At 37.0% G+C, this 24314-nt stretch overlaps 1 protein-coding gene across 10 annotated transcripts in view, besides 4 other annotated features; it reads right to left on the bottom strand.

Annotated features, from left to right (window-relative positions):
- The window catches only part of PHF3 (PHD finger protein 3), a 90210-nt gene extending 72070 nt beyond the window's left edge, over positions 1-18140 (bottom strand). For 3 of the 10 annotated variants that reach the window (NM_001290259.2, NM_001370348.2, NM_001370350.2), the window contains exons 1-2: positions 17792-18140; positions 7147-7415 (exon numbers count right to left, since the gene is read on the bottom strand). Coding sequence is in view for 4 of the 10 variants with exons in the window: in NM_001370348.2 (NP_001357277.1) it covers positions 7147-7390 (244 nt within the window). In the remaining 6 variants the exon portion in view is untranslated. Of the gene's footprint in view, positions 1-7146; positions 7417-17119 lie in introns of those variants that run through there. The other 7 variants (XM_047418528.1, XM_047418530.1, NM_015153.4 and 4 more) reach the window with 5 other exon arrangements.
- Positions 17366-17545: a silencer, noted in NCBI's record as "silent region_17311". NCBI's record gives its function as "represses an Ori minimal core promoter by ATAC-STARR-seq in GM12878 lymphoblastoid cells {active_cell/tissue: GM12878}" and the evidence as "EXISTENCE:reporter gene assay evidence [ECO:0000049][PMID:35858748]".
- Positions 17563-18383: an enhancer, noted in NCBI's record as "NANOG-H3K27ac-H3K4me1 hESC enhancer chr6:64345464-64346284 (GRCh37/hg19 assembly coordinates)". NCBI's record gives its function as "activates a minimal SCP1, AML or CMV promoter by ChIP-STARR-seq in naive and primed H9 embryonic stem cells {active_cell/tissue: H9 hESC(naive and primed)}" and the evidence as "EXISTENCE:reporter gene assay evidence [ECO:0000049][PMID:30033119]".
- Positions 17986-18345: a silencer, noted in NCBI's record as "silent region_17310". NCBI's record gives its function as "represses an Ori minimal core promoter by ATAC-STARR-seq in GM12878 lymphoblastoid cells {active_cell/tissue: GM12878}" and the evidence as "EXISTENCE:reporter gene assay evidence [ECO:0000049][PMID:35858748]".
- Positions 18915-19452: an enhancer, noted in NCBI's record as "NANOG hESC enhancer chr6:64344395-64344932 (GRCh37/hg19 assembly coordinates)". NCBI's record gives its function as "activates a minimal SCP1, AML or CMV promoter by ChIP-STARR-seq in naive H9 embryonic stem cells {active_cell/tissue: H9 hESC(naive)}" and the evidence as "EXISTENCE:reporter gene assay evidence [ECO:0000049][PMID:30033119]".

Below are 24314 nucleotides of genomic sequence, written 5' to 3'. Positions count from 1 at the left end.
ATCAATAAATGTGATACATCACATCAACAGAATGAAGAACAAAAACAGTATGATCATCTCAATAGACACAGGAAAAGCGTAAGTGATAAAATTCAACATCCCTTCACAATAAAAACTCTCAACAAGTTAGGTATAAAATAAACATATCTCAACACAATAAAGGCATGACAAACCACAGTCAACATCATACTAAATGGGGGAAAGTTGAAAGTTTTTCCTCTAACATCTGAAACAAGACAAGGATGCCCATTTTCATTCGACACAGTACTGGCAGTCCTAGCCCAAGCAATTAAGCAAAAGAAAAAAATATTAAATAAAGGACATCCAAATTGGAAAGGAAGAAGTCAAACTGTACATCTGCACTGTTAGAACTTATAAACAAATTCATTAAACTTGTAGGATACAAAATAAACATACAAAAGTCAGCAGCATTTCTATATACCAAAATAAACTAGTGGGGAAAAAAATCAAGAAAGCAATCCTACTCACCGAAAAATGTAGAACACTTTGGTATAAATTTAAGCAAGAGGTTAAAGATCTCTGCAAGGACAACTACAAAAAAAACTAATAACAGAAATTAAAGAGAACACACATCAAAAAATGGAAAGACATCCAACGTTCGTGGTTAGAAGAATATTGTGAAAATGACCACATTACCTACCAAAAGCAGTGTATAGATTCAATGCAATGCCTACCAAAATACCAGTAACAATATTTACAGAAATAGAAAAAAAAATCCCCAAAACCACACAAAAAAAACAATACACAGAACCACAAAAAAAAAAAACTAGCCAACATAATCCTGAGCAAAAAATGCAATGCCTACCAAAATACCAGTAACATTATTTACAGAAATAGAAAAAAAAATCCCCAAAACCACACACACAAAAAAAAATACACAGAACCACAAAAAAAAAAAAAACTAGCCAACATAATCCTGAGCAAAAAATAATAATAATAATAAAGCTGGAGTTATCACACTACTGGACTTCAAAATATACTACAAAGCTATGATAACCAATACAGCATGGTACTGGCCTAAGAACAGACATACACACCAATGGAACAGAAAAAGAAACCCAGAAATGAATCCACATATTTATAACCAACTGATTTTCAACAAAGGCACCAAAACAATCATTTGGGAAGGAATAATCTCTTCAACAAATGGTGCTAGGAAAACTGGATATCTATGTGCAGAAAAACGAAACTAAACCCCATCTCTCTCCATATACAAAAATCAACTCAAAATGGATTAAAGACTTAAATGTAAGATCCAAAACTAAGAAACTACCAGAAGAAAATGGGAGAAATGCTTTAGGACATTGGTCTGTGCAAAAATTTTATGGAGACCTCAAAAGCACAGGCAATAAAAGCAGAAGCAGACAATTGGGATTAGATCAAACTAAAAAGCTCTGGACAGCAAAGGAAACAATAAACAGAGTGAAGAGAAACCTACAGAATGGGAGAAAATATTTGCTACTGAGCCATCCAACAAGGGATTAATATCCAGAATATATAAGGAACTCAAACAACAACAACAACAAAAAAGCAATCCAATTTTTTAAATGAGCAAATAAGCTGAAAAGACATCTTTCAAAATAGACATACAAATGACTAACAGGCATACGAAGAAAATGCTCAACTTCACTAATCATCTGGGAAATGCCAATCAAAACTACAATGAGATATCATCTCATCCCATTTAGAATGGCTATTATCAAAAAGATAAAAAATAATAAACACTGGCAAGAATATGGAGAAAGGGGAACTCTTACACACTCTTGGAGGGAATGTAAATCAGTACTGTCATTATGGAAAACATATGGAAGTTCCTCAAAAAACTAAGAACAGAACTACCATATGATCTAGCAATCCCACCACTGGGCATAAATAGCCAAAGGAAAAGAAATCAGTATCTCTGCACTCCCATGTTTATTACAGCACTATTAACAATAGCCATAATACGAAATCGACCTAAGTGTCTACCAACAGGTGGATGAATAAGAAAATGTGGTATATATATACACAATGGAATACTAACTAACCATTAAAAAAGAACAAAATTCTGCCATTATGGGAACACAGATGAGCTCTAGGACATTAGGTGAAATAAGCCTGGCACAGAAATATAAATACCGCATGCTCTCACTCATATATAGCAGCAAAAGAGTTGAGCTCACACAAGTAGACAGTACAATAGTGATTACCAGAGTTGGGGAAGGGGAAGGAGCAGGGGGAATAGCCAAAAGTTTGTTAATGGATACAAAATCACAACTAGGCAGGGCACAGTGGCACACACCTGTAATCCCAGCACTTTGGGAGGCCAAGGCAGGCAGATCACTTGAGGTCAGGAGTTCAAGACCAGCCTGGTCAACATGGTGAAACCCTGTCTCTACCAAAAATACAAAAACTAGCTGGGCATGGTGGCAGGCCCCTGTAATCCCGGCTACTCAGGAGGCTGAGGCAAGAGAATCACTTGAACCCGGGAGGTGGAGGTTGCAGTGAGCCAAGATCGGCCCCCTGCACTCCAGCCTGGATGACAGAGAAAAACTCCATCTCAAAAAGAAGGAAAAAAAAGAAAAAATTACAGCTAGATAGGAGGAATAAATTCTAGTACTCCATTAACACTACAGGGTAACTACAATTAACAATTTATTGTGCATTTCCAAATAGCTAGAAGGGCAACTTTTGAATGTTCCTAACACAAAGAAATGACAAATATTTGAGCTGATAAATATGCAAATTAACCTAATTTGATCATTACGTATTGTACACATGCATAAAAATATTACTGTACCCCACAAATACGTACAATTATGTGTCAAAAACAATTTTTTAAAACTCGATTCTCAAAAATAAGTTATTAATGTAAAAGGTTCATTGAAGCACAGAAGCTTTAAAAAAATCAACTAATAATAAACAAAAACAGTCAAGACTCCAGTGAAGATATATAATGAACTTATATGTGTAGTTGGATTCAGAGATCTAATTAATATGCACAAATAGCCCCACCAACCCCCAAGAAAGTACAAATAGGGAGTAATAAATATCTGAAAACTGAATTTCACTAGACCAGAGAGCCACTACGTTTAGTTCAATGTACTGTCTGATTGAAATGCTGTCCAAGAGAAACACAAAGCCATAAAACCCAAAACTTTTTAAACAAATCTGTGACACACTGGTACACCAAACCTTTTTTCCAGAACAAGTGCAATATAATTTTTCCAATATTACATAGATGAATTGTCTAGTGATAAAGGAGCCTCAAACTAGGTATGACTAAAGTTTAAAATTCATATGCCAAAAAAGGGACTAAATCACACTATTACTGATAGTTTTACTAATTGTAAAACTAGTCTTAACATATATTACAAGTATTACAACACTTTGCTTGAAAGCAGTGCAAGTAAAAATTCTATCGAACAACACTGCTTGATGTCATATAATATCAATGTCATTTATGATAGGAAAGCAACATGTGATGTAAGCAGGTGTTTTCCTTTACTTGAAAAAATACTCAATTACACAATATGAATCAACTCTTCCCAAATATTTGGGATACCTGTAAGAGTTCAATGACTTTTTAATTTGCTTAACCTCCAAAAACCATACTAGAGAATTTTTTTTTAATTAAGTGAATGATGATTTTGCTAGCCATAATGCAGCCTTGAAAGGACATCTTGGTTTCACTGAAGGATGCAGTAGCTGCAAGTAGTAACCTACAGTAGCAGATAAGAGTGCTATCTGAATGAAAGGCTCATGTTTCTACAGTATGTCTGTTTTGTTGGTCTTAAAACAATGTTGAACTATATTGTAAAAACTAAAGATATCAACTTACAGCCACTGAACATTTATTTTCAATATACCATATTAAGAAATGGATTGTAAACACAAGATTGTTCCACACTTATGAATCATAGCTTAGCTGTCAATGTAAAAAGGGAACACATTTGTTTGTAAAATGAGAGATAAAATAAACATTTCTTCATAACACTGATACTGCCAGTAAACACCATTTCAGTGATTTTGAATACACTCCTCAAGTGGTATATATAAACAGTATATTCACTATCTCAAACCTGTTACTTGGGAAAATACTCTTTTGCTTACTTGCTAGAGGTTAAAAAAATATATTAATGGGCACATCTAAAAACCATATGCAAACACTACAATTAGATGAAGTAATACTTGACACAGTCAAAAGCATTCAAAGAAGAAAGCTGGCTGCTTTCTCTCAAAATAAAACAACTGGCATCCCAACTTTTGTGTATCCAACAGAGCACTAAACGTAATCTTCTATGTTTCTTATTTTTATAATTTTCTAAAACTATGATTTTTTGAGACAGCTGAAATACAATCCAAATCACTATGTCAACAACAAAAATACTGGTCCGAAACCAGCCTGGTTCATCATAACAGAAAAGATGATGTAGCAATTATTTTGGTAGCTAATTTTAGCACTAAGGTTACAAAATAGCCACAGTCTATAGCTTTCATTGGTCTAAGGAATACATATAGGATTATTTCCCTGCTTAGCTTCAATGAAAACAGCTAGTAAAAGCCCATTGTGCCAGAAACAACAATCTGGGCAAGAACTATGTTGTTTTTATTTAAAAACAGCTGAAGTTATTTATAAATAGCTGAAAGTTCCTGTCCACACAGGGTTTTCATCAATAATTACAATAAGATTTCCCAGGCCAAGCACAGTGGCTCACACCTGTAATCCCAGCACTCTGTGAGACATAGGCCGGAGGATAGCTTGAGGCCAGGAGTTAAGAGACCAGCCTGGGCAATATAACAAGACCCTGTCTCTACCAAAATAAATGAATAAATAAATAAATAAATAAATAAATAAATAAGATTTCTTTTTTGCAATTATCTCTTAAATCTAACAAAAAGTTAAATTTTTTTTCAAAAATGTTTTCCATTTTGCTTTCAGAAAATGTGTGGGCCTTTTACTGACCCAAATATCCCAAAAGGAAAAGAACTTTGAAGAAATCAAGATAAATCCCCTGCTAGATGGCACAATGAAATTTAAACAATCCTAAACAGAAAAGCCTTATTAAGTTTCCCCCACATATTTCCTTACATATCTTAAAAACATATACACTATACATATACCAATACAAACATTCTGCTACAGAATCAAAGATAAATAATTCTAGTAACCAAATTTTAATATCAGAAAATTTAGGAAGTAATTTAAGTTCCTAAATTTAAAAGTTCATTTAAAAGATAACAGAATCACAAACGAATAATAAATCGTATCTCAAAAAATTTCTATGTACTTCATAAAGGTGCTCTAAGTCTTCTATTAGCAAAAGAAATGTACAACAAAACTGAAGAGATTTTTCACATTAATAAAAACTTTTCATTATCAACAGAAATCAATTTTTAAAAAAGGACAGGAAGTAGGAATACAGGTATTACTATAGGGGTGGAATTTTATAAGTAAAATAGTCTAACAAGATGACACATGTGTCAGTTCCACATCCAATATAACCACCCTTGAAGGTAACTGGAGTTCCAGCAACAACCATGTTAATATTAAATAAATGTTCTTCCTGAATTTGGACTAAACTAGGAAACAGTCAGCATACAACCAAACACTGTCAAAAATGCTTAAAAATAAAGATAATTAGAGCTACTATACTGACACAAGCACCAAAGTAAAAAACTTGAACAATGCATACATAAAACAAAATTTTAAAAGCTTTAAAACATTTAGAATACAACAACAGAACAATGTAAACCTAAGTAATAACACAACATAATATAAATAATTCAGAGATACACTATTAGCAAGCAATTCAAAAGACCTCAGTTTTAAGTTGTTAAAATGAAGCTTCCTAGTAGCCAGTGTTGAGGTCCTCAGGCAGAGTAACCTGGCAAACTTAAGGGCCAACAGCAGACCACCTATTCCCAACTTTAAGTATTGCCGTATTAAATTTAAAATATACATAGAAAATGTTTTAAAAAATGAAAAATATGCTGAACAAACTGTACAGGAGAAAAAGTCTAGTCAATGAAAAACAAACCAACATCACATAAACCTGAGAACTATTTACTCTAGGGAATGGTGAGGGAAAACCTTACTGTTCCATGGGAGGCTGATTTTACCTTTACCTATAATTTTACTCACAGAATAGCTATTAGTAATTGCCACAACGTTTACAGTAATATTTTCTCTGCTTTATAAAAGAAAAACTGTTTTTTATACATTAACATGACAAAGTAATTTCTTATTAAGGATAGTTTAGCCTTACAGAAAATTACTATCTTCAGTCTTTCAGTTACTTCAACTACAGACCCTTTTCTGTCCAACAGAAATATAAGACACATATGTAATTTTGAATTTTCAAGTAGTCACTTTTAAAAAGGCAAAAAAAACAAAACAAGTGACATAAATTTTAACCACAAATATCCAAAATATCACCTCAGCACATAAGCAACATAAAAAAATTGAAGAAATATTTTTTAACTTTTTTTCATACTGAGTCTTCAAAATCTAATGTGCATTTTATAGCACATCTCAATTAGGACCAGACTCATTGCAAGCGACCAGACTCATTGCAAATGACATGTGGCTAGTGTTTACTGTCCAGGGCAGCAGAGGTATAGAGTTCTTTCTCTGGTTTTAAGATACATGTACAAAATACCAAAGGAGGTGAAATGGGAGCAAACAATGTAAATATTTCAGGGGCTGGGAGGTATGCTGAGAAAGGTCAATTCAGCCATCCCCCGACTCCAGCAGGCCTAAGGTGACCACATGTCTCAATTTGCCGGGCAATCCCTATTTACTAAAGAGTCCCAATTTACACCTGTTGTCATGATGTAATTATTAAAGTACTCTCTGTAATTCTAGTAAGTGTCCCATACTGGATAATAAATTATATGGTCACCCTACCTATATCCATAATATCCTTGAGGATAACTCCACACTCCTTGGAAGAAAATTTAGTTTAAATTTTAATTCTGATGCCTGGAAAAGAAGCTCTAAATTCAAAGGAAATAACCCTAAATTTACTACCCTCCTCATTAAAAAAAAAAAAAAGAAAAAAAGAAAAAAGAAAAAGCTGCTGAAAATTTTTTTATTTTAAATTGCAGACTAAAAAAAAAAAAAAAAAAAAAAGTAAGAATTACCTGTTGAACAAGGCATCTGGAAATTGGGATCATTGCTATCCAAAACAGGCAAACAGAACTGGTTACTTGCAGATCCTAGCATAGGATCCTTATCGCTGAGCATGTTCTTCAGCGAGTCCTCTAAGACATTTTGACTTGCACTAAAATCCTCACAGACTTCATTCTCCAGGTTGGATCCTAGAAATAGGGCATCATCTAAGTGTTCAGTAGGAATTAAATGATTAAATGTATCAACTATATCCATGAAGACTTCTGTGTGTCTTTCAGCCCTATAGAAAGACAAAAAAAATACCATAAGAAATAAAGCTATCAATTGAAAATCACCTAATACCAAATTATTTTAATAGTTTTGAGTCTAAGAACACACTTAAGGTATTTCTGAATTGTTGTTTAAAAAAAAAATCCTCACTTGTTTTTAGAATATACATTTGGAAATGTAGAACGAATCTTTACTAAATAATGTTTCTTCATCATGCATGTAGTATATCATTTTACCAGAAATCCTACTAAATGTTTACTCAGTTCATTATTTTTAGGAAAAAAAAACTATGTATATAGTCCATTAACTTGACACATACAAAAGAATTACATGGCTTAAAGCATAAAAACTATTGTTTTTAACCACAACCTTTTCACAAATTAAGCATCAGACACTGCTTTTACAATAAGTCCACATAAAAGAGCTAAAATCAAATATTTTAAATTTTTATCCCATACCTATTAAAACCATAAAGTAGGCTTGTTTTATTTACAAAGTATTAAAATTATTTAAAGAAAGGTAATATATATATAGACAAAGGGCTTTTATTGTGGGGGAAGAGGTGGAAAATGAAAAAGAAACTATTAACCCAACAAATCAAAACTTAAAAGACTACACACACACACAAAGATGTGCACAAACACACCTTTTTTCAAGGCCCCCTTATAGGATAAAAACAAGATAAATGACACAAAGACAATCTACATCATGTATTTAGATTTATTTTAGTTATGTGTGGTCTATACAAGTATCAAGTTAGTCTCCCATTTGAATTGTACCTACATTGCTCAGCAAAGTCATTTCAAAGCTCTACAGGAGCCTCAATTATGAAAAGTTAAAACAATTAAGTTAAATCAGTTTGAGAGAAAACTGAATCAACATATTTTAGGGGGTGGAAAGTCAACCGAAAAAAGTTAATATTAATTTAACAAAAAGTCCCAGTGATTAACCTATAACATCCTGGGCTCCTTAATTCCAAGATTTTTGAGATTAGCTCCAAATTTAACAAAATTTCCTCAAACTAGTCTTGAATTCTCTCCCCCTATAAAAATGAGGGAAGAATTTCAGATACATGCTAACATTCACTAGTTATATATGTCATACTGTACAAAACATTTAACCAACATTTATATAATTTAAGCCCCAATAATAAACAGGGTCTATTAACATCCTCGCATTATTTAAAAAAATGCACTTGAATAATTTAAATGTCTTCCCCAAAGTCACAAAACAGAGCCAAAATTCTAGCCTGGGTTTCAAGCTCCACAGCCCATACCCATTAGTAAGTGTTACCCTTTCACACTGAGCTAAGGGCTGGGATGATCTGACTCATTAAGGGCTCTTTAAAAACAATTTTCCTGCCAGGCCCAGTGGCTCATGCCTGTATTCCTAGCACTTCGGGAAGTGGGCAGATCACTAGAGCCCAGGAGTTGGAGACCAGCCTAGGCAACAAGGCGAAACCCCGTCTCTACAAAAAAAAATACAAAAATTAGCCAGGTGTGGTGACGTGTGCCTGTAGACCCAGTCACTCGGGCGGCTGAGTTGGGAGGATCACTTAAGCCCGGGAAGTGGAGGTTGCAGCGAAATCAACCCACTGCACTCCAGCCTGGCAAAAGAGCCAGAACCTGTGCCCAAAAAAAAAAAAAAAATCCAACAAATTAGTGACTGCCTGGGGCCACGAATAGGGAAAGGATGAACTGCAAAAGGGCAGGTGCATACCTGAGAGATGACGGAAATGTCCTAAATCTTGGTTGTGATAATGGTTTCACGAATCTGTTCATTTTTAATGAATGCATTTATTATACCTCAATTTTTTTTAAAAAAAAAGCAAATTCCTCTCTCACAAAAGTTAATGTCCTTCTAAATAGAAGTTTCAGTATCTCTTCTCATTTTTTTTCCATTTATTTACACTGAAATGTTAATAAAGCACTGAAAGAAAATGCTAACTACTTTACAGATTTGCTGCTTATTTTACATGCATTCTCTCAACTGACAGAAAATTGTAGCTAGCAATGCTGAAGAAAACTCAGGACAAGTTCCTTTAAGAATTCCCTACCACTATATCATCTCAGTGCCAAAGAAAGTCTCGATTATCATACAACACCAATACTTACGCCCAATATGTTTTTAGGTTCCAAAAAAAAATTTAGTATATTAAATTCTGGTAATTAAAAATAATTTATGAAAATATTCACTAAATGTTTACAAAATTAAGTAGAACTACCAATGAATTCATTTATCTGAACATACTGGAATCCAATACAGCAAACCAAAGCCACCTCCTCTTCAGAGAGTTGCATCCCAATTAGTAATCTTTTTTCTCAGATCAATCAAAAAGAAAAAAGGCAGTTTCAGCCCTAGAAACAAATGGCTAACCTTCCTTCAAAAAACGGTATACTGAATCTACTGAAAAAGTAAATGCACTTGTTACCATAGCAACATGAGGCCAGCAAATTCTGCAAACTTCCTATGAGGTCTTCCTGTTGTACCAACTATATGCTGTGAGCTTTCAAGTGATGGGAACATTCACAACATTCAGAAGTTATGGTCACAAAGCTCAAGATCCCATAGCTATACTGAAGACCAGGCCATTCTAACTAGTCATCTAAAGGAGCAATTTTTTTTGTTTTCAATAATACTGCTATTAGTGAAACCATCCTAAAACTCCTTTACTGAAAGTGGCTTCAGAGCCTGTAATATATTTCTTGAAGATCGATTTTTTTTAAATAAAGCATATTGTAAATAAAATGGGTCAAGTTTTCCAGTACTGTTTTTAAGTCAAAACTATTATGACTTATGAAGTATGCTTCCCCAGATTTAAACAGGCATTATCCGGAAAAAGGTTTCCACAGTCACAAGTGGAGATAGACTGAAGTTATGTTTCTTTAACAATACCGTTTATTTATTCATCAAATGTTTACTAAGCAGCTACCATTGTGTGAGACATGTTTAGTAAGCTAATGAAAATGGGAATCTTCTAAGAACATAGTAATAAAGCGTATCACATTTGTGAGTCCAAAGAAGACAATTTCCACAGGACAAATCACAATCCTAGTGTTTCATGGGACACGTTTTAAGGAAAATTGTTATAAATGAGTCAGAATAATTTTTCTTACGTGGTTCCAACTGGCTCTGGAGATAATTCCAAAGAGAAAATGCCAAAAATGAACAGCATGTAGCCATCCAAAAGAACTCCCTTGAAAGTAACATTTACTGGAGGTATAATTCATTTTTAAAAATCAGTTTCAGATACAAAGTGATCAGTCTCAAAAATAAAATAGCTCTAATGCTAAACAGGCAAACAAATTAGCCAAATGTAGAAATATTTACTCACTTGTAATGGATACACTAATCTATTAAACACAATGTGGTACCCTGGATTAGATCATGGAACAGAAAAGGGACAGTAGCAAAAAAAAACCGGTAAAATCAGAATAAAGTCTGTAATTTACCATTATCATTGGTAATACACCAATAATAATAATCTCTGTTCTGATAAAGGCACTAGCTTTATGTCAGATGTTAATAATCAGGGAAACTAGATAAGAGTATATACAAACACTACACACCCTTTGCAACTTTTCTATAAATATAAAATTATTACAAAATAAAGTCTTAAAAAAACTAATCTAAGAATATTCTGGGATACCTAGTAATGTGGCTAACAGATAATCAGATCTAATTAAGGGGGAAAATTAGGAGCCAATTTAGTATCTTTGTTAATTAAACAAATTGTCTAATTTAAACAAATTCCTGTTTCTTACACTAAAATTTTACTTAAATGCTTTCCTATATTTGGCATTCTAAATTTAATAAAACATAGGAAGCCCATCTACTGGCATTCTAAATAATTAAAACATAATAAGCCTATATAGGGTGTATTTTAAATGGCTGATGATACGTGTATATCCAATTAAATCCGTATTGGTAATTTGGGAATATACATGTTAAAGTCAGAAATTGTTTCTGGGTAAATTCATTTTTACAGACAACAGAATATATGCAGCTAAGTATATAAGTGAATAATCTGCATAATTCAAAATTATTCATTTACTCATACATGTGTTAAGCATCTACTACAAAGCATTTTAAGTCTAGTGAAATGAACCCATCTGAAAGTCGAAAAACTCACAATTCAAAATGACATAAACATATAAGCAAATACAACACATATAAACATCACAACAAAATGCTAAATGCCGTATTGAAGGGCTTCACAGAGGAAGGTGAAACTCTGGAAGCTAACAAAGGCTAGGCAGGTGATGATGTGTAAGCTGGATCCTAATGGTCCAGAGGATATTCTAGGCAAAGGGAACAGCATGTCTTAATTATGAATGGCTGAGTTTGGTCCTGATGGACCATTTATAAAGACTCAGAATACAACTAAAAATAATTGGTACTAATTTGTCAAATAAAATTTAATCTGAGTCCGAAGATATTTCCTGCTTTAAAATATGTTTCATCTGTAATTCTCAGAGAATTATACTGAAGTCAGGTTTAGTTTATACTAACAAAATAGCCTAATTGCTTTTCAAGTGTTTCAAGTATTAATAGAACGCAAAAAGATGAGATTTAGAAAGTGTCAACAGCAAAAAAAAATTTCACTTTAGGCCGGGCGCCATGGCTCACACCTGTAATCCCAGCACTTTGGGAGGACGAGGCGGGCAGATCACCTGAGGTTAGGAGTTCGAGACCAGCCTGACCAATATGACGAAACCCCGTCTCTACTAAAAACAAAAAAGATTAGCTGAGTGTGGTGGTGCATGCCTGTAATCCGAGGCTGAGGTGGGAGAATAGCTTGAACCTGGGAAGCAGAGGTTGCAGTGAGCCAAGATCACACCATTGCACTCCAGCCTGGAAGACAAAAACAAAACTCCGTCTCGAAAAAAAAAAATTACACTTTACAAAAACTCACTTTAAAACACCTTCAAAGTAAACCTATGAATTCTATCCTATTATTTCCTAAAACACACACACACACACACACACACACACACACACACACACATACACACCTAACAATAAATCACTAAAGCTATCAAAGGCCAAAGAGGTTATATACTAAGATGAAGTTGTCTCTCACGTAGTCTACATTTGTGTCTGTGGGTGTGTGTGTAGGGGGGTGGTGTGAGGGGAGCAAAAATTTATCAGGAGACTAATATCGCTCAAGAAAAGTTATACAAGGCAATAGTGATGGTGGTGGTGATGGGGGATTGGTCTATGTATGATAGTAAGTGAAGGCCTCACAGCGTAACATTTGAACCAAAATCTCAAGTGAGGTAGTGATCAATGCATAAATGCCAAAGAGCAATCCAGACAAAGACCCAGAAGTACAAAGGTCTTAAAAGTGGAGCACACTTGATGCCTTCAGCCCCCATACCATCGTTTAAAATAAGCAATTTCATCAGGCATGCTTACCAAAAACAAATTCCTAATAGGCAGTAGCAGTAGAAGAACAAACTACCACCAGTAATGATAAAACAAAACTTCTTGTGCTCAAACTTCAAGACAGGCATTGTTCTACATGCTTTGTATCTATAATTCTCAATCAGAGGTGAGTATGCCCATGCAGAGAACATTTGCCATGTCTAGAGACATTTTTGGCCATCACAACTGGAAAGGGTACTATTTGCATCTAGTAAACATACTATAATGCACTAGGACAGCCCCACACACACACAAAAAATTATCCAGCCAAAAATGTCAACAGTCAAGTTTAAGAAATTCTGCTCTACATTTTTTAATTCATTTAATCCTCAAAACAACCTTATATTATTATCCTGATTATATAAAAATTGAAATAAAATGAAATTAGGATCAAAGAGTTTAAATAATTTGCCATAGTAGGTGATGGAACTAAAAGTTGTTTGGTTTTGTTTGTTTGTTTGTTTAAGCTATCTCCTACAGGAAGAACAGAGCTAAAATCTGAACCCAGAAAATTTCATTTAAGAGTCAATGTGCTTACAACTGCCCTATGTGTTTGTAAGGTTAAACTCACTGGATATTTACTGTGTGCAAGGCATTGTGCTAAACAAATTAAATGCATCATGCCATTTAATCCTCACAACCAAACCATTAGGCAGGTACTATCATCCCCAATTTACAAGAGAGGGGCTAAAGTTTAGCAAAGTTACACCCAATATTACAAAATAAATAAGTGACAGAGCCAGGACTCAGATCCACTCTGCATTACACTAAGGTCAGTTCTTAACTACTATGATATAACAACACTAAAGATGAATCATGGGTTATCCATCCTTCGAGGACAGAGTCAAAAATTAATAAGTGGTTAGGCCATGTGGTATGACACAATACTACAAAGTATCATTCTACAAAGCAATTCAACCTAGTCATCTACTCTACACCCCCACTTCAAATCTGGTTCAGTTTCGTTAGTTAGAATCTATTGGCAAGACATCATTATAGAAAGCAAGGATCATAACTTTTCTAAATGTATCTGGTAAAAAGAAGATATCAAAGTGTCTGCTGCACAAAGACAACTAAGACCAAAGCAGACCTAAGTCCCTAGGAAAGGATCTGAAGATGTTGAAACTGGCAAACACAGAATTACAGTAGCCAACAGTAACAAGAAAGAGTTAACTTCAAAGTTTACAACTATATTGGCATTATATCATAACTGACATTATAAGCATTAGGAATTTGAATAAACCACCAAAGTAGTGGACCTAGCTCATCATTAAAACTATGGCCTAGGGAGTAACAACCCAAGCTAACGTGTAATTGGCACACACTATATGCCAGGCCCTGTGTATCGTATGCATTATCTCATTAGTTCCTCACAGCGACCCTATAAGGTAGGTGCAATTATTAGTCCTTTCTCTTTAGAGCAAACTGAGACCTAGATAATTACATAATTTGCCCAAGGTCACATACCCAATATTCCTACATTTGAACCCATTCAGTGTGATTCCTGAGCCTACACTTTTACACTCTATAATGCACTCTACACATTAATTTTTATGCTTTTAATATATCATTAATGAAATCTTAAAAAATGCTAGAAACAAAAGTGACTCATCCTTCTTCCAAAATAAAACAGGAATATGCACTTAGCCACCCTCTACACATTTAAAAAAAAACAAAATGTAAGCCTCAATGCATATGAACATCATTGGAGGAAAAGCAATTTATCAGCTACAAACTTTTCCATTTATTTTCAGTCTAAAACTTTATGCTTTCATGTGCCCAGCTCATGCAAATTACAAACGAATTAAAATGTTAAAGTTCAGCCTTTCTGTATAATCTACCACGCTCTTCGAAACTGTCTAATAAAGTTAGATTATGCCAACAGGTTAAAACTTCTGGAAATATCTTAAAATTTTTACTGAACTATTTCTCTATATCCACTCTTCACTGTATAATAGTCATAAAATTTTAAAATACCATTAAAAATGGTCTAAATTAAGCACATTATGCAGGACAATAATTGTCAAGTCCACACATATAGCAATTCCTCATAAAACTCTTGATATTTTCCCCTTTAACTCTAATACACTGATTAACATCAGATGTCAATGAATCTTGTTTCCCAGACTATAATATCTTTACTGAGAATAGAAACAGCCTCAGGGTCTCATGTATGTTTAATCACATCAATACTCTCAATATCTTTCCATGTGTAATCAAAGGGCAACAATTAAAGAATATTTTTTGACTGTGTTCTCAAAAATGCAACAGTATCATAAATGTCTAACAGTTTGCCAAGCAATTTTTATAGTTGAAAAAGTGTCTATCCTTCTGAAAAGATACTCCAGAATTCTGAGAGAGTGCTCCAAGAAGAAATAAGAGAAACAGAGCCCAAGATGTACTTTTCCAGAAAAGAAAAAAATCCAGCAGCCACTTGTCAGAAAGAATTCTTGAAATGTGGATGAATAAAAACTGTTAGAAATCAGCACCCTAAGAATCCTGAACTCCTTGACACTGTGTGGTGAAATATGTATTGGTAATACACAAACCTAAATGTTGACCAAAAAATCTCATTATCTCACTAAAAAACAGAAAAGTTATTATCTCCAGAAAAAACATATGTAAAAAGGATTTTATGAGAAATTTAAATGGATCTTAAGAAGGCAAAATGTATCAAAAAAGCAAACACCATCCCACCATGTTAAGGAAGATAAACATCATCTATTTCAGTAACTGAAACACAGAATTGTATGTATAATTTTCATTCACCAGTTTTTCCAAGTAGGCCTTATACTATGAAAAAAATCTAAGCTCTTGATTTTGCAATACTCCAAATTGCCACTTGCTGCCTCCCAACTTTTATAAGTAATACATTACATAAGTCAAAGACTGTCAACTTTCCTAGTGGATTCCAATACTCAATAAAATTTAAATTTTAATAACATAGTTTGAAATGATTAAAGACAAATTCCTTTCGATTTTTCTATCTTGAAATGTGCATCTGACCAAACCAATTTTTTACCTACATTTACATAGACCACTTCTCAGAGGTGACTTTTCTGATTATGCAACATATAAGTATACCATAAGATCAACATGATAAAGTTATCTGAAGTCTATCCCAACAAGAGAGAATGCATAATTCACGTGTATGCAAAAGCAGTAAAATAAACTATATTTTTCTATTCTTCAATAAATGAACCTATAAAAAATGTAAATAAGAGGCAAACTTTGGTCCCATCACTGGCTCATTTTTATCATTTTGACAAATTACCGAGTACAGCTATCTGAAAAAGCTTAAAATCTAAAGTTGTAATCTTTTTACATAAAAGTAGCCCGTTTCGGGACTGATTGTGTGGCTCAATCAGAGGAATCATCACTCCTAAAAGTCTGCCACTAAACTCTGCTACTATCACCAGAAAATGAAGTATGTATTGTAAAATAATAATAACAGTGATAATGACGATGATGAAGGAAAGAATCATTATGGTAATATATAGCCAGTAAACAGATGAATGAAGAGAAAAATTAGTGGGGAAAAGGTCTAAGTGATAACTAAACTTTAAAATTACTATTTAAAATAACAATAATCTTTACACAACACCTTTTTGTGCTGTGGAAGGGAGCTATAAATTCAAAAACATAAGTATGCTACAATAGAAAAGTTTCTGGTGCTTTGACTCAACATGTCGCTCTAACACAAACATACATCTTTTTCTACAAATATTTTCACAGTTCCAAACACTTCATTCAGGAATCGAAAAATGAATAATGGAGGCGTAGTTTTGTTAGGCCTTTAACAATCATTTTGTCAAAGGGAAGACAAGTTCGACCCCAAAATAGTAACTAAATACAACAACGTACTGTTTAAGTACTCCCTACAGAGTTTACTGCATTGGTTTTTAAATTTAGCTTAAAATAAGATAGTAAAGTTAGTATTTAGAGAAGCCTCAATAATCGATTATTCTTTTTAAATTAAATATCGCTACATGTAATGCAGATTAGGACTAGAATATTAAAGCAGTGTTGCCACTTAACATTAATCCATGAACATATTCTACGCGTGACTACTGGAAAGCACTAATAACCACCCCAATCTAGTCTCTAGGAATTGGCATTTAAAAGCCCAAAGATGGAAAAAGGTCACCTAACCCGGCAACACATCCTGAGGGAAAGGAGGGACACAGGACTCCGTGCGCGATATCAACATTCTCTTCCTTTCTACTCTCCGCACCGCCCCCGCCCCCCGTGTCAGGTGATCAGTTATTTAGCACCATTAACACGTACGTATCGACAAGTGGTTCATTAAATTACATGTATTATCGGAAGGCAAGAGTCTAGGCTTCTCATTTCAAACTAAGCAAAAGGAGTCCACAGTTTGAGTCCCGGGCACAAAAGCGCGCGGTAACTGGAGGATAAATGGAAGAGCAACTCTCATCTCCAAAAAGCAGCAGCAGGGAGCAGCCTAGCAGCCAGGGCCAGTCCCAGTTTCCCGAAACCAAGGCCCAAAGCTCCATGCTGGGGCTCCCTGAGAAGGAAGAGGCCCCAACGGCCGGATCCGGGGGCCTGCGAGACGGGCCTTCCAGGCAGCGCCCGCCGTGCCTCGGGCCTGCGCGCCCGCGCCTCAGCGGCGGCGGGGCGCCCTCGCAGCAGACGGCTGGGTACCAGTGGTCGGGAGAGAGGCCGTGGTCCCGACCCTCCGCCTGGCGACCGCGTCGCTGCGACTCCCTCCCCAGCCCGCGGTCCAAATGGTCCACAGGCGCCAGCGGCGCGGCCCAGGTAGGCCGAGGACGTTGCGCAAGAGGCCCGAGAGGCGATCTCTCGGCTGCGCGGGAGAAAAGCGCGGAGAGTCCGCCGCGGGAGGGGCGGAGAGGCCCGCGGAGGCGCTGTGCGTGTGGAAGGGGATGGGGGAGGGGAGGATTGCCCGTCTCCCTGGCCGCGGCCACAGCCGCAACTCACCCAGCTCCGCCAGACGAGCGCTACCACTGGCAGCAAGAGGAAGATGGTGGACGCTGCCGCCGCCGAAGAGGAGGAGGAGGGGGCCCGGTGGGTGCCGCGGAGAGGGGGTACGCGCAGGACGTCGGCGTCGCTGCCACAGCCTCTTTTCCTCCTGGGACCAAATGGCTGCTGCTGACGACACTATTCTTGGCTTCCGCGCCGCCCTCCTAATCCTCGTTGCAGCCGCCGCCGCCCTGAGCCCGAAGGTCGCTTGCCGCGTGGGGACGGTGCGACGGCGCGAGACCCCGCAGCCATCGGCGTGCGGCGGCGGCGCGGGAGCTGGAGAGGGGCCGTGTCACGTGACCCCACTGTTTACCGTTCCGGGGGCCGCGGCCTGCGTCGCTGCCGCGCCTGCGCGCTTTAGGGCCTCGAGCGCCGCGCCTCCGTGGGGCCCCGGGCTGCAGCGCTTCCCGGCGTTGCCGCGCCCCTCCCTGTCTTCGGAGGACGCGGCACCGCCTGCGGGCTTCTAGCTCACACCTCCGCGCCGCCGGGAGGGGCGAATCAGAGGAGCGCTTTTTCTCGACCGTAGTAAGCACTAAGGCTTCACAGTTAATATAATATTGATGCGCAGCTCCCCAACCCCAGGTACTTTTTATTAATTGACTGTGAGTTCAAGAATGGTAGAATAGGATGGAGTAGATGAGCCCTCTGCCCAAATATCTGTGCTGGCTCGGCACAGCAGCCTTACCATTAACTACCTCCGTTACCCTCACCCTACATGGCTGATCTACCTCAGGACTCAAATTGCTACCTCCAAGAAACATTCTTGGTATCCAGTAAGCAGTCTTCAGAATGTGGTCCCAGGTTTCCCTGAGGGGTCGCCAAGACCTTTCAGTAGAGCCTCCATTCCTTTGCCAGGAGCATGTGTCTAAGGCCAAATTTTCTTCCCACCCTTCAACCAAAACAGCATATAGCAGCTGATTCAATGCAGAAACAGATAAGAGAATCCAGCCATCTTCTATTAAGCCAGACATTGAGGAAATCTGCAGAAATTTTAGATATCACCCTTTTATTAATTTGGAAAATATGCTTTTCATAAATACATTATTTGTGGTAACAAATATTGTGTAGAGGTCCAGAGACAAAAAAAGTTTGAGACCCACTGGTCTGCTTCCACAGACACTTGAGCTAACCCCTATCTCAGCCCTTAATAAGCGCTGTGAAGTAATTGTTGCTTGTCAGTCACTCCAACCAAAAGGAGCTACTTAGGGACAGGGTTTGTGGCTTTTATCTACAGGGACTATTACAGTATTCAGCCAGTACCTGCTGAGCACCTTACTGTGTGGTCTGCACTGTTCTAAAACCTTTACAGTACTTGTTGATTTAAGCTTTAGACCAACCGCAGCCCACATTGTAAGATTAGTGCAGGGTGGAAGAATAAGTCACAGGCATGTGGTGAAGATCTGTTCTTTCCTCTCTCTAGTCTTCTGATATTTTAAGCACTCTTAATAGCAAATGCTCTTCTACAAAGGAAGTTTGGGTTGTCCTGATTCCACTGGATTCTTAAGAGTTTCACCCCCTGTCTTGACTAATCAATCCCTCAAGACTTTGTTTTACAATCTTTTTGTAATGTGTTTTTGAGAAAGGAAAATAGAAATGAGTAATTTTTTTTTTTAATTCTCACTTGGGATGTCTGGGATGAATTATAAAAACAAGCCTAATGTTATTCTTACTCTTCTGGTGGATCTCAGTGTGACGTTTTAAAAGGGCGTTCAGAAAAAGTAAAATTATTGTTATAAACAAAATCCAACCCCGAAGGAATTCAACAGAGTAGAACTTGATGACGGAGACCACTAGCTGGAAAATCCCTTAGAAGGGCTGAGGAAAACTTACCTTCTCAGAGAAGTTTTAATAAATTTAAGATAAAACAAAATGGAGATTAAAAGAAAATGTAAGAATCATAAGACTGTCACATTTACAAAGCAAAGATTTCTGATCCTTAAAAAGTCAACAAGCTTGCCATAGGCATGATGTTTTGATTCTGTTATTTTGAACCAGCCAAGTGCCCAGATTCACATTTGTCCACTAATGGTCTTTGCTTTTTGCTTCCAGATGTAAACACGAACTGTTTATCTTATACCCAATTCATAGAAAGGTTAGTAGAAGAAAGAACCAGCATAATAATACTGGCAACAGCTATAACTGCACACAGGACTTATTGGAAGATCAGATTGTATCAGTAACATTGAAAACTCCAAATTAACTTGGGAAAATTAAATTTGGTAGGAAAACAAGACAGAGTAATTGATAATGACTAAAACTGACAGTGTATTTGTATTTAACTAAAAAATTATCAAAGAAGGAAAAGTGATAAAATTTGGATCTTGCAAAACATTGACCCAAGAAAACTGAGCCTGGCAGAGATTAAGACCATGGAAGACAGTAAACAATGTAGACACAAAAGTCAATTTTGATATGAAAAATGCTTGTCATCACTGAAACATTGGTCCCTACAGTAATCAGTAAACTAAATATGGAAAAAAAAAATTGGAAGAATTAACCCCTATGAGCAGAAAGTCAATAAAAATATTAAATTTATTTAATGAAGTTTTTTCTGGCAAACACTTTGTAGACATGTACTTTCGTGTTAATTTAGAATAGATTTAAATGTTTGTATGCTTAAACACAGAATCAAAACAGTGGGGTCAAAAGATCTCAAACTCAGCCGGGTGCGGTGGCTCACGCCTGTAATCCCAGCACTTTGAGAGGCCAAGGCGGGTGGATCACCTGAGGTCAGGAGTTTGAGACCAGCCTGGCCAACATAGTGAAACGCCGTCTCTACTAAAAATACAAAAATTAGCCAGGCATGGTGGCAGTCCCATGTAATCCTAGCTACTCTGGAGGCTGAGGCAGGAGAATGGCTTGAACCTGGGAGGTGGAGGTTGCAGTGACCCGAGATGGCACCACTGCATTCCAGCCCGGGCATCAGAGTGACAGAGACAAAAAACAAAATAACTCAAACTCATTTTACCGAGATCATCATTGAACTTGGAGGCTTAAGTTACAACACTTTTTCTTACATCGTGGGCTTGCTGCCTTCCACACATTTTTTTTCCTAGTTTCTCCGGAAAGATGGCCCATAGCTACTCAGGCTTTCAGCAGTAAACAGTGGGTGAAAAGAAGTGCAAGCCCCACCGGGAGGTTAAAATTTCCATAGCTTACCTCTGTTCAGGGGGTGGTGCCTAGGAAGGCTGGGTCAAACAATAAAATAAAGCTTTTCCGTGCATCAGGACTGCACAAGCTATAAAGCACCTTTGTAAACTTCAGCAACGTTAAGGCACAGGAAAAGAGCAGAGAGAGACCTGAGGCATCAGATTTTTAACTAACTCTGTGATTAACCGTCTTTGTGACCTTATCTCTCTAAGCTCCTCTGCATTACTCTCCCTGCCAACACACTTCATTTGCTCATTTGTTTATTCATTTATTCCGTTATGCACCCCAATAGGTTTCAGAAATAAATGGTATTGTTCCTGCCCTCAAAGAACTCAGAAGAGTGGCAGTAGATAATTAGGATTCAGCCTGGTGTGACAGCAGTTGATGCAAAAGACCCATATTCGTGTTTTATCTGGCCTGGAGTGGGTATGGGGGCATTTCTGACAAAAGGGATGTCCTCAAGGTCAAAGAAGTACCAGAGAGCTTGGTGTGTTTCAGGAACTACAAATGATTCATTATCTGAATTGAACATGTTGCAGCCATGAAAATAATCAAAATTCTTTTAACAAAGAAACTATCTGTGATGTTGTCCCTCAGTGACAATATTACCTCCCTACTTGAAATCTTTTCATAGTTCTCCAAAATATAAAGAATAAAATCCAGGGGGGGCGCGGTGGCTCACGCCTGTGATCCCAGCACTTTGGGAGGCTGAGGCAGGTAGATCACCTGAGGTCAAGAGTTTGAGACCAGCCTGGCCAACATGGGAAAACCTTGTCTCTACTAAAAATACAAAACTTAGCCAAGCATGGTGGTGCGTGCCTGTGATCCCAGCTACTCAGGAGGCTGAGACAGGAGAATTGCTTGAACCCAGGAGGTGGCGGTTGCAGTGAGCCAAGATCACACCACTGCACTCCAGCCTTGGTGACAAAGTGAGACTCCATCTCGAAAAATAAAAATAAAAATAAAATCCAAACTTCTTAATGTAATCAAGGCCCTTTAGGATTGGTCCTTGCCAACTCTTCAGTCTCTTCTCTCCCTGTTTCCTGCTTTTTAACTTATGATACAACAATACCTAATTACTTACTGTTTTCTACACACATCCACACAATGTCCCTCAACCTAAAGTTTTTGCTCATGCTGCTCCTTCTGACAGGAATGCCCCCTCCCAAATGACCCCAAAAGCCTCATAATTCCTCCTCTCACTTTATCTGAATTGTTCCTGCATCCCTTAAAGATGCAGTTCAATGCACCATCACACTTAATGGTGGAAAGATAGACGCATCTCCACTCAAACCAGGGTTACACAAGGCTGCCACTATCACCACCATTATTCAATATTTGCCAATACTAAAAGGCAAGAAAAGAAATAGTAGCTATAAAAAAAGAAAGGACACAAAAGACCATTATTTGCATATAATAAAAACTGCCTAACAGAGAATCAACAAAACAACTGCTAGCAGTAAAGAGTTGCCTTGGTACTATTTAAAAATCAGTGAAAAAAATAATGGCTTTCCCATAAACAGCAATCATCAGTAGAGTACAGTAGGGAAAATAAATTCCAACAAAAATATAAAACATTTAAGCAGCATAACAGGAAAAAAATGTGTGTTTTTTATATGTACACAAAAGGAAAGCTATACATATAAAGAAACAACCCAGAATAGCCAAAACAATATTGAAAAAGAAGTGGAAAGGTGGAGGACACACACTTCCTGATTTCAACACTTATAATGAAGTAACAGTAATCAAGACAGTGTGGTACTGGCATAAAGATAGACATATACATCAATGGAATAGAATTGAAAGTTTAGAAATAAAACCATGTGTCTATTTTCAAAAGACTTTTGACAAGAGTGCCAAGAATACAATGGGGAAAGAATAGTCTTTTCAACACATGGTCCTGGGAACCACTGATCAGCCACCTACAAAAGAATGGAGTGGAACCCCCACCTCAAACCACGTACAAAAATTACCTCAAAATGAATCTACCAGACTTCAGTTACAACAAAGAGGTGAAGGGCACCTGATATGGGATAGTGAAATACAACTTTTATCTGACTAAAGACTGGTTTCCCAGTTGCTAGAGCAATCATTTGTACTCTGAGCACATTCAGAATTAGAATCACAAGATACGATTGAAAGCAAGTTTATGTTGCATGCTCCTAGGCCCAGAAAGTAGAGAAGCAAAAGGAAGGGTCTTTAGTTTAAAAACACAGCAAATGTTATAGCTCTCCCTACTCCAGGCAGAAGACTAAAGGTTAAGTGTCCCCTGAAGTTTGTGGTTTCCCAAGATGCTGCATCAACCAGTCCAAAGGTGGAGAAGCAACTTGAACTGCAAGCACAGTAAATTGGAGCAAGAGCAGAATGCATGTCCATTAGGCAAGGCTGCCTTTGGAATGAGGGTTAGGGGACCTGCTTCTTATGGGGCTAAATAGAACCATGCCTTTTCTCAAAAGGGACCATGCTAGCATTCCTGAGCTAGGTGCCCACTCATAAGCCTTTCAGATTATTTCACTAAAAGCCAATAACTTGTTTGTAATTTGTGTTTAAATTCCAACTATAACAGAAGAAAAAAGTTGTAAAATCTTGTGTACAACTTAATGTCTACAGAGAGAGAAAGCCTCAAGAAAATGTAAAATTTGCTTGGAGGGTCCAGGCTCTACAAGGACATTTTTTTCAGGAAGTCCCGCCAATACAAATATGTAGAAAACTTGGTTGATCACAAATTGGAATTCAGAAGACATATTGGAAAGATTGGAAGGGAGGGCCAGAAATGAGGATTTCCTCAAACTAGAGGAGGTGCTGGGAGTTGAAAAGGTGAAATTGTGTGATAGCAGACAACCAGGGAAGTCATATGATAAGAACATTCTAGAAGAAGAAAAGGCTAATTCCAAGATACTATAGTAGTAACACATTTGGGAGGTTCTAGAAGCAGAAAGAAGGCTAGTCTGACTGGAGTATAGGGTGCAAGACAGAAAGATGAGAGATTAGCAAGAACAAGGCAAGATGTTTAGAATCTACTGTAAATAAAATGAGAAGCTGTGGGAGTGTTAAAAGCAAAAAGTGACATCTGATTTTTTTGGTAACAGTTGTTATTAAGATATAATTCACATACCATATAATTTGCCCATTTAAAGTGTACCACTCAATGATTTTTTGGTACTTTTTTAGTATATTTAGTGCATTTAGCACAGAATTGTACAACCATCACCACAGTCAATTTTAGATCATTTTCATAGTGCCAAAAATATTCCATACCTTTTGGTCGTTACCACCCATGCTTTATTCCCTCACCAGCCCTAGGCAACCACTAATATGTCATTAATTGTCT

Source organism: Homo sapiens, chromosome 6, assembly GCF_000001405.40.
Source record: "Homo sapiens chromosome 6, GRCh38.p14 Primary Assembly".
NCBI classification, from domain to species: Eukaryota; Metazoa; Chordata; class Mammalia; order Primates; family Hominidae; genus Homo; species Homo sapiens.
This window is presented reverse-complemented; position numbering and strand designations above follow the sequence as displayed.